Source organism: Homo sapiens, chromosome 1 (genome assembly GCF_000001405.40).
Source record: "Homo sapiens chromosome 1, GRCh38.p14 Primary Assembly".
Taxonomy (NCBI): Eukaryota; Metazoa; Chordata; class Mammalia; order Primates; family Hominidae; genus Homo; species Homo sapiens.
The window spans coordinates 38490935-38503971 of NC_000001.11; the positions used below are offsets into that span (position 1 = coordinate 38490935).

Here is a 13037-nt window from a genome sequence, read left to right on the forward strand (position 1 = left end):
CTCAAATTAAGAAAAAGTGAGGGAGAATTAAGAAATTAAAGAGAAATATCCAATACTTCTTTCTCCGTAAAGAACGAGTTCCAGAGATGAGGTTTCACTGTGTTGGCCAGACTGGCCTCGAACTCCTGACCTCCAGTGATCCATCCGCCTCAGTCTCCCAAAGTGCTGGGATTACAGGCATGAGCCACCACTCCTTGCCTTTATCCTGTTGGTTTTAGGAGTCAAAGGTAAGCAGGAGAAGTGGCGCCCACCTGTAGTCCCAGCTATTTAGGGAGGCTGAGGTGGGAGGATAGCTTGAGCCTAGGAATTCAGGGCTGCAGTGAACCAAGATCACACCACGGTACTCCAGCCAGGATGACAGAGTGAGACCCTTTGTCTTAAAAACAAAAACAAAAGAGTCAAAAAGATTTGTTCTCACCTGGGAGCTTGAGGCCTCAAAGTGCTCATTGAAAAGAGATTTGGGGCTGGGCGGAGAGGTTCACGCCTGTAATCCTAACACTTTGGGAGGCTGAGGCAGGCAGATCCCTTGAGCCCTGGAGTTTAACCTGTGCAACAAGGCAAAACCTCGTCTCTACAAAAAATACAAAAAATTAGCTGGGCATGGTGGCACATACCTGTAGTCCTAGCTACTTGGGAGGCTGAGCTGGGAGGATGGCTTGGGCGCAGGAGGTTGAGGCTGCAGTGAGCTGTGATTGCACCACTGCGCTCCAGCCTAGATGACAGAGACCCTGTCTCAAAGGAGAGAAAAAAAGAGAAATTTGGTGGCAGTGGGCTATTGTATCCTGGTGATCTTGTGTGGTTCCTGGGGCATTGCTCTTAAGAAAGGGACTGGTAGTGAGAGTGTAAAAGACAAACATCTGGGTGGTGTTGAAATCCTGTAAGGGGCCGGGCGTTGTGGCTCACACCTGTAATCCCAACACTTTGGGAGGCTGAGGCAGGTGGATCACAAAAAAAAAAAAAAAAAAAAAAAAGAATGAGTTCTTTTCTAGTAATCAGCTTTTAGGAATTACACGTCCTTTCTCAGTGATTAATCATATACCTGACAAATCTAAGGAGAAATGTAAACTTGAGGAAAACTACATTTTGATACCATTCTAAAGGAATATTTCAAACATGGGATCAATAACACATTTCTGCTAGATGACCATCTCTAATACTAAGTATCAGGATAATCAAATGTGGAACTGGGAGGTATTTTAGAAACCATCAGATGCGCCCTCCTTGTTAAGCACTAGTTCAAATGGCTTTATGCAGGGAGTCCGAGTAGAGCAGGAACTAGAACCCAGGTCTCAGCTCCCAGCACTGTGTCTTCCCTTCTCATGCCTGTTGTCAGGTTCTACTTTAAAAGCCACAAAAACATCAGAACAGAAACTGGGGTTTTCATCTTCCCTCATGACCGATAATAATAAAATTCTACCCAGTAAAACAAAAGGACAGTTAAGAAACAAAGTATTTGGAACAGATGAATTTGGAATCTTGATGCTATTCCTCCCACCTATCCTATCCAAGAAGCCACTAACTTTCCTCGCTAGAGTTCTCTGCAACAGAGCCATCACTACCCTTCTGATTAACAGAGTACCTCTGGGCTGAGGGCCTCCTGCATCCTGCCTCCTACCCGTGCATCCTTCCAGCCGGCCCACCAGCCCACCCTGCTCAGTGCATGACCCTAATGTGCACCTGCTCTAGGGGAGCATGGTTTACACTTCTCTAGTGAAAGGTTCACACTTGCTTAACAAAGAGAAGGAACTCCATCCTCACTTTAGGTGCTCTTGGCTAAGACAGGGGCTATTTCTGACCTTTGCACCAGAGATAATATGCTTACTTAACTCCTTACTGGAACATAAGAAGGGAAAAAAAGCATGATAGGGCATGCATGACCCAAACTTCTTTAGTTGTCTTAATTGATGTCCAATTCTAATGCCCTTAAAATCAACTCTCACTTATTCTATGAGCTCGTTCATGTATTTGCAGTCAGAAGTACAACATGTATGGAGTAGAAGTGAAACCTAATGACCACATTATGGGTATATCCTGCTAATAGCCTAAGTTATCCGAATGCCATTAGATGCATTCCATTCAACTAAGGAATTAGGGTCAGATGTTATATATTTTTTTCATGTTAGAGGGGGGAAATAAAAGCAGAGTAAGGAAGGGTATTTTTCCAAGGCAACCCCCACAGAGCAGGAGCAGAAAAGTTCATGTGGGAACCCCAGAGTTCTGGTCCCAATCCAGTCCTCTTGAGCAAAGAGAATTTTCATTCCTACTGAGGGTCCCCAGACATTGGCTCTGCTGTTATCATGGCTAGGTAACGAGGGCAAGGGGATGAAGGAGGATGTCACAGACAGTTGTCAAAGGCATAGGGAGTTATGATTTGGGAGCAAACACCTTGTGATATGGTTTGGCTCTGTGTCCCCACCCAAATCTCATGTTGGATTGTAGTGCCCAATAATGGAGGAGGGAACTGGTGGGAGGTGACTGGATCATGGGGGCGGATTTCCCCTTGCTGTTCTCATGATAGTGAGTGAATTCTCACGAGATCTGGTTGTTTGAAAGTGTGTAGCACTTCCCCCTTGCTCTCTTTCTTCCTCCTGCTCCCACCACATAAGACGTGTTTGCTTCCCCTTTGCTTTCCACAGTAAGTTTCCTGAGGCTTCCCCAGCCATGCTTCTTGTACAGCCTGTGGAACTGTGAGTCAATTAAATTAAACCTCTTTTCTTTCTAAGTTACCCAGTCTCAGGTAGTTCTCTTTTTTTTTTTTTTTTTTTTTTTTGAGACAGAGTCTAGCTCTGTCACCCAGGCTGGAGTGCAGTGGCGTAATCTAGGCTGACTGCAACGTCCGCCTCCTGGGTCCAAGCGATTCTCCTGCCTCAGCTTTCCAAGTGGATGGGATTACAGGTGCCTGCCACCACACCTGGCTAATTTTTTTTTTGTATGTTTAGAAGAGATGGGGTTTCACCATGTTGGCCAGGCTGCTTTTGAACTCCTGATCTCAAGTGATCCACCCACCTCAGCTTCCCAAAGTGCTGGGATTACAGGCGTGAGCCACCATGCCCAGCCACATAGTTCTTTATAGCCATGAGAGAACAGACTAATACACCTTTACTTCGCTGAGGCAAAAACTTAACAGTGGGAAACCATTATTTCAATGACAAAGCTTTGTTCAGTTGACTTTATCTCTTAATTACGTGCATGTGAATGCATTTGTCAAGTTTCCTGAGGTGGGATTGATAACAATAAACCTGTATTTCTGCACAATGTTTTAATTCTGGAGGTAGAAGCAGCACAACACACAAGGAAGGAACCGTAGGCGGCCCTGTGCTCATCCTGGCTGCCGCTTGTTGAGTGTGGATTTCGACTCCACATCTATGCAGAGCCTGGAGGCTCACTCAGCCACATTGGGCCATCGGGCTGTACCAGGGCTCTGGGGCCACAAGGTTTCATAGGCTAAGGCAGGGTTCCTGGAATGTCTTGGCCTAAATGCTCCACATCTTGGGAAGACATTCTTCATCATCATCTCCACAAACCAGGGTCAGTCTGACTCCCCCTGCCCTCCACAGGTGTGCCACACCCCCAAGCATGAGTGTAATCATGGAGTTTCTGCCTCCAAGCCACTTCCTGGCCTACTGAGCAAGACACCAAAAATCCCTGGCCCTTGAGCCCCATATTTTACCCCAAGTATGAGATGGCCCCAGCTCCTTCAACAGCCACAAGGATTTTCTATCCATGTCACTCAGGCTGCCTTTCTTACAGTAGATTTTCCAGGGCAGGATCCACCTATGCCCAGAGACAGGCCCGTGCTTCTGGGCTTGGATGACCTAACCTCTACATAAGCTCAGCTCCTTTCAGAACTCCCTAAGACATCTTTGATCCTTTCATTCTGTCTGGGAATTTAAAAGATATTCCTCAAGAGACTGGGCCACAGAATATTTCAGGGTCTCCACGCAAAGAAGGATCACCTACAAACTAGGACTCTTTGGGGCTCACCTGCAAACTGTACTCTAGTAGTCTGCTCTGATATTCCAGAGTTTCCTGGTTGGATGTGCAGGATATTGTGACCCTTACTACAGGGAGCCAAGGACAGAACTTTAAGGAATACCAGCATTTAAAGGCTAGGCTAGGACAACGAATCCACACAGGAGACTGGGAAGAAACACCAGACAGAACACATTGTTTGTTCACATCTGCCCCTCCATGCCAGGGTGAGAGAGCACCTCCAAGGGGGACCAGGAAATTGACTAGCGAATTGTTAAACAATGGCCTTCAACTTGTTAACTCTTCTCTGTATTCACACTCTTGGTTAGTTCCCTGCCACACTGACTTGAGGCTTGCCCATATGACTTGCTTTGGCCAAAGTTACAGTAAAGGAAAGATGTCCTGGCTCGCCTGCTGGATAATGAGAGGCACATAGTTCATTCTCCCCAGCTGACAGTCGGTTGATCCCCTGAGATGTATCAACAAGGCCATTCTAGATCATCCTAGATCATCTAGACAACCTACCTCCTTACTGCAGTTGCATGAATAAGCTCAGACTAACAGCTCACACCAGAAGAACCACACTGAGCGACTTACTTCGCATTGATAGATAATAACTCATATACTGACCAAGGAAAATTCAGATTAGGAAATCCTGAGTGTGATAGTTAATTTTATATGTTGACTTGACTAGGCCATGGGGTGCCCAGACATTTGGTCAAACATTATTCTGGGTATGTGTGTGAGGGTGTTTCTGGAAGAGATGAACATTTGAATTGGAGACTGAGTAAACCAGATTGCACCCCCTAATATGGGTGGGCCTTATCCTATCCATTGAAGGCCTGAATAGAACAAAAAGGCCAAGTAAAAGGGAACTTCTGCCTCACTCCCTGAGTGGAACATTGATCTTCTCCTTCCCCTCAGGCTGGAACTTACCATTGGCTGTCCTGGTCCTCAGGCCTTCGGAGTCAGACTGGAACTACACCATCGGCTTTCCAGGGTCCCCAGCTTGCCAACTGCAGACCTTGGAATCAGCCTCATAATTGCAAAAACCAATTTCTTATCCAAATATTAGTATATATATGTAATTTCTTACAAGAAATTTAAGTAAACTTCATATGTATAATACTTCTATCTTCTATTGGTTTTGTTTTTCTGGAGAACCCTGATGAATACACCAAGTTTCCTGATAATTGGCATTCTCTGCTCAGGGGCTGGTCCTCTGGTTCTCTGTAGCATGCCTAGCTCTTCCCCTCCCCTGAGATGGCTGAGACAGTCCGCAGGTGGGACTTGAGGCTTCCAGACTCCTTTGTCCTAATTGCAATCAGCAGTGACTTCTCACTCACTGGTACCACCCATTAGCCCCTCTGCTGCTTCTCCTCTGCTGTGGGAGCATAGCTGTCACTCTGGAAACACAGTCCCTGGGCTGCGGAGGGAAGAAGGCCCAAAGGAGGAAGGCTGGCTCTTATTTCTGCTGCATAGGACCATTCTTTTCCCTCTTCCCACCCTCCCTTTGCCCCCAGAACTGAATCCAAAATAAATGAACAGACTCCCCAGTTCCTGAGTTTTAATGGAACTAACGAGCTGATCACAGAGTCCCAATGCTGTGACTGCTTCCATTCTGGCTAGTGTTAGATTGCATTACTATTTTCATTTGTTTTCATTATTATTAGCTTTTAGCAGTGAAATGGAGTTAAAATTATTACAGTTTGTAACATGCTTTTTGTACTAATAATTCAAGTACTTTTGAGTAGGAGCTGAGAGCATTAATTTGTCAATCACTCCTGCTTTGTATCTAGTCCTGCTTTAAATAGACTAAACAAAAGAAATGAACACTATATATTTCCCCAAGGGATAGAACTTGTAAACATTCAGATATGTTAGGCTTTCATGAAATTATAAACCATAATTCCAAGGTATATTGCACAAATAATAGGGTATTTCAAAATCAGTGCAGCTGACACACAAAAGCTTCAACTCTGGTTCAGATAATAACATGGGGCAGCCATCTGTGCTCAGAGTTTATTCGCCTAGTCAGGAGCCAAGGTGAAGGTGAATAAATGCAAACATTTTTGGAGGTTGAGCAGAAGGTCCCCAAGAAGCTCTGAGTCAGAGATCTATGTATGCATTAAAGAAAACGAGAGCCTTTCCAGCTTCCAATCCCAGTCATTTGGAGGCAGCATTACAAAAACAACAACAAAATGAGGAGAGCCTGAACTACCACTAAGAAATGCCACATTAATTCTGCCAGGAATGTTTACAACAAAGAGAAAAGGAAGAAAGATCCAGAGCTAGAAATAAACGCGATGTTGTAACTGCATATAAATGCGGTACAACCTCTCCATTAAACATGATAAAAAAGACCAGCTTATGTCAGTGGAATGCCTAGATTACAGGATGCTTTTTCAATAAAGAAATGTCATCTTATTACCTTAAAATACATATAGCACTCAGTCAGATTAGGACAATATTAATCCTCAAGGACCTACTTTTAATGAATGACTAGAAATGATTTGTCATTATCAAATCAGTTGTCTCGGGTAACACGGTCTTTGGGTAGTCCTGCTAACGGTAAAAAAAAAAAACAAAAAACAAAACAAAACAAAAAAAACAACAGTTAACAGTCCTAGCTAACAGGACTACCGAGTTAACAGTCCTAGTTAACAGTTAACGAGGTTAAGCATGAGCTCTCTCTCTCTCTCTCTGTGCAAATCTTGTGTCTATCTTTGTTTCTCAAACCTTTTTTTCCCCTAAAGCAAAGGAAATCTATAACTCAGCTCCATTGTTGATGATTACGGGTACTGGATTGGAAAGGCCCTCACAGAATAGGAGACTTGAGTGGGCCTGTTCTGGTCTCGGTGTTGTCTGGGAAGAAATACAACACATGGGGAACAGCGGAAAGGTCCATTTCTGCAGATTTGACTCCTACTTCTCATTGTTCTTACCCCCATTTTTTCATCCCACCTTGAGAAAATCCAGAGTGTTAAACTTGGCCCCTAAAATTAAACGCCTCCAAGAAAACACAGGACTTGGTATGTTACTGGGTTTCACTCCCACTGCTTAAAGACTGTGATTTTGATAGTCTCGTCTTTTTGACTAGAATATATTTTGTCATTACTAAGAGGCTGCATTGCACCTGTTCACTAAAGCAGGGAGGTTTTTCAAGTTTGGAATTTCCCTGGCAAAGGAGACCTTGGAAATTGACCAACTGGCTAATCCCATTGATCTCCGAGTCCCCTCCACGTGCCCTGCCCCCCACCCTCCACCTCTCAGGCTGCTCAAAAAATAGCTTTTGACTGTGGCCTTTAACAATATGATAATTTATTTAAAACAGATACAGTCCTGAAAGTGACCCACTTAAAATTATTAAAGAGATACTGTGTTTATTTTTGCTGTCCATAAAACAGAAAATGGTTTATGAATATGCAAACCGATCTGATGTAATTAGCATGATTGGCTCCTACTGCACTCCGTTTTATGTGGTTAGAAGAGTAGATGCAGAAACTAATGAGGTCATGTTAATGTGCCTGTGAAGAGAGCTTCAGCTGTCAGAACAACGAAGGCAAATGTCTGGGAGAATCTTTTCTTTTCCACAAAATCACTGAAAGTGGGCATGAATAGGGTGAGATCCCGCCTGTGTGCTGGGGAGCCACCAGGTCCAGGAGCCACTTTGCCTACTGCATGCAAGGAGTTGAGATGAGAAATAAAAATCTATGTCCATTCAGAGCAATGATTAATGTGGTATTTAATTATCTAGAAAGTCTTCAACAAGTGCTAATAACTGAAACTCCTCGGGCAGTCAGCACATGCCACACAGTCCCATTAGACATGCTAACACCCTATCCCCTGGCCCTCCTTAATTAAAATAAGAGGCAAAAATGTTAACTGTGCACCGACCACCTCTGGGGATTAATCTGCCCTGATCATAGCACCCGAGGAAGCAGGTTGCTCACCCGAGCATGGACACTGACATACCAGACTCCTCCTCCTCCCTGAGCGCCGCTACCCACCTGGTAAATGCAGGCCCCTGCCCCTGCTGGGAGAAGGGAAGAGGAAGGGAGGCTGGCCGCAAGTGGGCAGGGGTGCCTTTTAATCTGAATGCCAGAAGGCATGTCTCAGAAATCTTCTTAGATATTGAACAGGACATACAGCCTGCCACTGAGCTTTTCCTTTTACATCTCTCCTAAAGCATAAACATATGAACTTGAAAACCTTATTTTCAATTTCTGCCAGCTCCTCTATGGCTCTAAAAATATACTTCTCCTCTTTGTATCCCCTCCCTCCAACACACACACACACACACACACACACACACACACACACACATTGTGCAACAGAAACAAAGAACGTCTTGAGAGCTCAAATGTTAAAAGGGAGGAGACCAGTCGAAAGTGAAAAATGAGGCTTTGGTGCTAATCAAAGACTCAACTGAGTTCGATGTAAAGAGACCTCACGGGAAAGACATTGCATTTGCTCATTCTAAAGACACTTAAACTAAAAGAAAAGGAAATGGTGTTCTTCAGCCTGCACCTGGTAGCAACCTTGACTCCTGCCTTTGGAGAAACAGCTGGTCCATTTCTGATGGTCTCTTCAGTTACAGAATCTCAAAGAAGAATATTTATTGCATGGCTACTACATGCCTGGCACTTTCCTGGGTTCTGCAAAGTAGGAATTTGTATCCCCATTATACAGAGGTGGAAACTGAGGCTTAGAGAGGATAAATAACTTGTCCATAACCAAACAGCTAGTAAACGGCAGAGGCAGGCTCTGAATCCAAGACTGTCTTACTTAAAGGTTCACGTTCTTTCACTATATCATCTTAGGATGCAGGGCAAAAGGAGAGACATGGGTGTGGGTCCCGCCCTGTGATGTCTTAAGTTTGGCTTGTTTAAGGAAAAGAACATTTACCAAAAATATTTTTACAACTTTGAAAATGGGTGGGAACTCCACAGTGGAAAATGACAGAATATGTTGCCCAAGAAACCCCAAGGAAAGGAATTGACAGGAAACATGAAAGCTGGGTCTTTTTCACCCTGGCCTCCCAACACCCACAACTCTGTACCCAGCATCCTGGCCACATGAAACTTACCTGCCACTTCCCAAGCACTTCACGAATATGCACATCTCCAGTCCTTTGCCCATGCTGTGTCCTCTGCCTGGATCTCCTTCTCTTTGCATACTCCACTTCACTTCTCCCCATGAAAATTTGCCTCTCCTTCAAGGCAGTACCTGGATTTTCCTTCTTTTACAGGATTACAGTCCTACAGATAAAGCACATTGAACCTACCTCTGTGTTATATCATTACCACACTAGATTATAGCTGCTTGTTCATATGTCTGCCTTTTTGGCTGGACTGTGTGTTCTTTGAGCTAAGGGAGCTGAATGTGTGTCCAGAACCCTTAGCCAGTGCCAGATACATAGAAGGTGTCCCATAAATGTTTGTTGAATGCATCAGTGAATGAATAAAGGAATAAGTAAATTTTTAAGAAGTGTATGGCCCTTTTCTTAGGGATTTCCACAACTTTGGAGAACATACTTAGATCATTTCTTTCTTTTGCTCACAAGGAGCCATGTCCATAGGCAGGGTGCAGTTCCCATCCGTAACAGCAGAGGCATGAATGCACACATATCAAAAAGTCCCATCCTAATCTGAAATCTCCATCCAGTTTCTCAATTTCATCCTGATTTCATGGCACCATATACCTCTCTGTCATAAATCTTTATCACTATTGTAATTTTACATCTAGTTAGGTGATTCTTTGATTAATAGCAAGCAGCGACCTCCTCTTTGGGCTCTGGGCTCTGTAGGGGCAGGTTTTGTTGGTCTTATCCTACCTTTAATCACTGCTGTATATCCCACACCTAGCCCAGTGCCTGGCACGGAGTAGGTGCTCCATAAGTATCTGCTGAATTAATGAACACGTGATAAAGTGGTTTGACCTTAGCCAAGTCACTTCTTCTGAGACTTTTTCTTTCCATCTCTGCTATCAGGTCTTCCATCTGCTATTCCATGATGCTGGAATAGCTCCTCACTTCCTGGAAGTGAAAGCTTTTAGTCTCTAGAAGGCCCAGGTAAAAATTCAAATCTATTACCCAAGCAAGAGTATACTAAAACAAGAGCAAATGATGGCATACAAATTGGCCAGCCACCAGGAAGCAAGGCCTTGACAATAAGCAAGGAGATATGTGTGGTTGTGGTGAGTCATGGAGGGGCCCAGCTGGAGGGACCAGGCCCTGGCATGGCTGTCAGGGCCCAGAACCCCCGGGGAACAGTACTATGGCTCAATATAGGGAGACAAGAGGAGGGGAGAAGCAAGGAGCGTGGTATCACTTCCTAGGGCTGACATAACAAAGTACCACAAACTAGAGGGCTTAAAGCAACAGAAAGTTATTACCCCATAGTTTTGGAGACCAGAAGTCTGACATCAAGGCATTAGAAGGTCCATGCTCCCTACCAAGCCTTTAGAGGAGGGTCCCTCCTTGCCACTTCCAGCTTTGCATAGCTCCAGTCATTCTTTGGCTTATGGCAGCATCACTTGAAACTCTTCCTCCATCTTTCCATGGCCAACTTCCCTTTGTATCTTTATAACATCCCCCTTCTGTGAGCCATGTCTCCTCTTACAAGGACACCAGTCATATCGGATTAGGGCCCACCCTCCTCCAATTTGACCTCATCTTAACAGGATTACATCTGCAAGGACCTTTTTTCCAAATAAGGTCACATTCACGGGTACCAGGGGTTGGGATTTAAACATATCTTTTGGGAGAACATAATTCAACCCATATCAGGGGTCAAAAGCAGACTCTAGTTCAGCAAACTTTTGACCACTGCTATGTGCCAGGCCTTGTGCAGGTCTAGATGAAGAAAAAAAATGAATCAGATATAAATATTAATACAAAGTACAGAAAGGAGACATCACATCCTCAAAGGGGCATTTGATGCTATGAGCATCGGATGAGAAGAAGGCAAGATCATGTTCAGTCATGGAAAAAATTCAGAGGTGGTTGGGCTTCAGACACTTGTTGGAGAATAGATCAGAGTTCAACAGACGAATATGGGGACAGCAAAATGTGGTCCAGGAAAGGGAAGAGCATAAGCAGGTCATGCAGCACAGAACTGATGCTGTACCCTCTGATGGTGTGTACAGTTTTTAAGCAGAGAATCATAAAGTGATTCGATTCTGGTTTTCACAAAAATCCCAGCCACCTCAGTAGGACATCGGAGGCCCTGACTGATCCAGTCCCTATCTAGTTACTGGTCCAGAGTGAAGTTTGTTCTGTGTGTGGTCTTAGAGGTGCCAGACATGCCAGGTCAGTACTCACTGGGTATGCGCTTGTCCTGCTGCCTAAAATCCTCCTTCCCTCCCTTGTCAGGCAAAACCCTACTTGCCTCTTATAGGTCAACTCTGATGTCACCAGCTTGGTTTGTTGTGACTTGCAAAGCAGTGTCAGCTCACCTTTGCTACAGCACTAAAGACACCATATTGTCATTATCTGGCACAATTTTCCTCCTCTACTAGATCAGGGGCTTCTAGGGCTCAGGTGCTGGGTCTAGTTAATTCCTATGCCACTGGTAACCAACACAAACCCTGACATGCAGCTGACATTCAGTAAACATCACTGACCACAGTACTAAGAAAGGACAGGAGGAGATGAAACTGGACGCAGGAAGGTCCATTTAGGTGACATCTACAATAGTACTGGCAAGAGATAATAAGGCTCCTAGTACTGCATAAGGCAGAGACAAGCGAATGAAGAAGAAAGGCAGATTCCCCAGAAGCCTAGAAAGACACAGTTTATAATTCTGCCCACCACACCCTGGACATCCCTTCCTCCCCCTCCTCCTCTATCCATGTGCACACTGGTGGACATCCCTTCCTAAAGCCCCAAGGACCTGTCATGACCCAGAGCTTGTCTGCCCTAATTCTGGGCAGGAAGCACAAATGCTGCAACCCTTAGCCTGAGGCTCAGTCGGGTAAGTGTTGGGAGTTTGGCCAGCCCTCTCCAAAGCTCTCTGCTGCTAGCCCTAGGCGTCCCTTAAAGTCATTTCTTAGAGCCCAAGAAGAGCCCTGCTATGGCCCTTTGGTGGGATAAGAGCGACCCCCAGTGCTCAGGAACTTGCCCAGGCAAGCTCTTTACCCACAGGTTCTATTTAAAGGGGCAGTTTGAACCTGTGAGCAAGACCCTTGATAATTAGCCCTGTGTAGACTGGGAAAAGCCCAGTGAGTTCCTGGAAAGCAAGCCCTTCCGCCTTCAATGAAACACAAGCTGAACCAGAATCATGTAGGAGCTGGTGCCTTCTGCCTCCTCCCTTGTAGGCTGGTGCAGCCATGTGCCCCTTTTGGTGAATGAGAGCCTCCCACTAAGTACCACTGTTTTACCTTCCAAATAAATAAGGTGGCTCCATTGCACGCAGGATGTGATGGACTTGGGCGTAGAAGGCCAGCTTTGCAGAGGCTGCTGTGGAAGTCGTATTGTCACAATTCCTACAGAACTCCAGGGAGTAGCCTACACCAACCTGACCAGCCAGGAGTAAGGGGCAGCCCATGCTCCTTCTTCCTTCCCTCTCAATCTTCCATCCCCTCCAGTGCTGGCCACACACAACAGCCAGGGCTGTTGCAGCTACCCAGAGGAAACAGGAAGGAGGAAGGAGGTGGTTATTGGGTGTCTCATCATTTCAATCTGCATTCACTTCATAGGAACACAGCCACTCCTCCCACTGGAAGACCCCAATTAGGGAAGACAGTCAAAATCAAATCGTTAGCCCTATAACTGTATCGTACATTCTCTCTCCCCCACCTCTTCTCTCTCTGTCCCTCCCTCCTTCCTTTGCTAGTATCCTTCCTTCCCTGGACTCAATCATCCTCATATTCTGTTGCCATTAGCTTTAGTTGTGGACTCCCTTTTTGTCTATTTGCAAAGACATTTTGGTATCTATTGATTGAAGGCAGGATTTTAGATACAAAGCCAAAAAGCTGTGATGAGCCTTCCCATTCTGACAATGTGATCAAGTTCTGAGTGTTGTAGAGTGAGAGAGGAAAGACAATTAGAAAACAAGGCAAGG

At 45.0% G+C, this 13037-nt stretch overlaps 1 long non-coding RNA gene across 1 annotated transcript in view, besides 2 other annotated features; it reads right to left on the bottom strand.

Moving 5' to 3' along the window:
- Window positions 1–12606, bottom strand: part of LOC105378657 (uncharacterized) — a 203343-nt gene extending 190737 nt beyond the window's left edge. Inside the window, exons 1-2 of the long non-coding RNA XR_947210.3 lie at window positions 12355–12606; window positions 9062–9233 (exon numbers count right to left, since the gene is read on the bottom strand). This is a non-coding gene — a long non-coding RNA (uncharacterized LOC105378657). The remainder of the gene's footprint in view (window positions 1–9061; window positions 9234–12354) is intronic.
- Window positions 11903–12197: a silencer, noted in NCBI's record as "tiled region #1530; K562 Repressive non-DNase unmatched - State 20:ReprD". NCBI's record gives its function as "weakly represses a minimal TATA promoter and a strong SV40 promoter by Sharpr-MPRA in K562 cells {active_cell/tissue: K562}" and the evidence as "EXISTENCE:reporter gene assay evidence [ECO:0000049][PMID:27701403]".
- Window positions 11903–12197: an enhancer, noted in NCBI's record as "tiled region #1530; HepG2 Activating non-DNase unmatched - State 13:Ctcf". NCBI's record gives its function as "activates a minimal TATA promoter and a strong SV40 promoter by Sharpr-MPRA in HepG2 cells {active_cell/tissue: HepG2}" and the evidence as "EXISTENCE:reporter gene assay evidence [ECO:0000049][PMID:27701403]".
- Window positions 12607–13037: the final 431 nt, after the last annotated feature.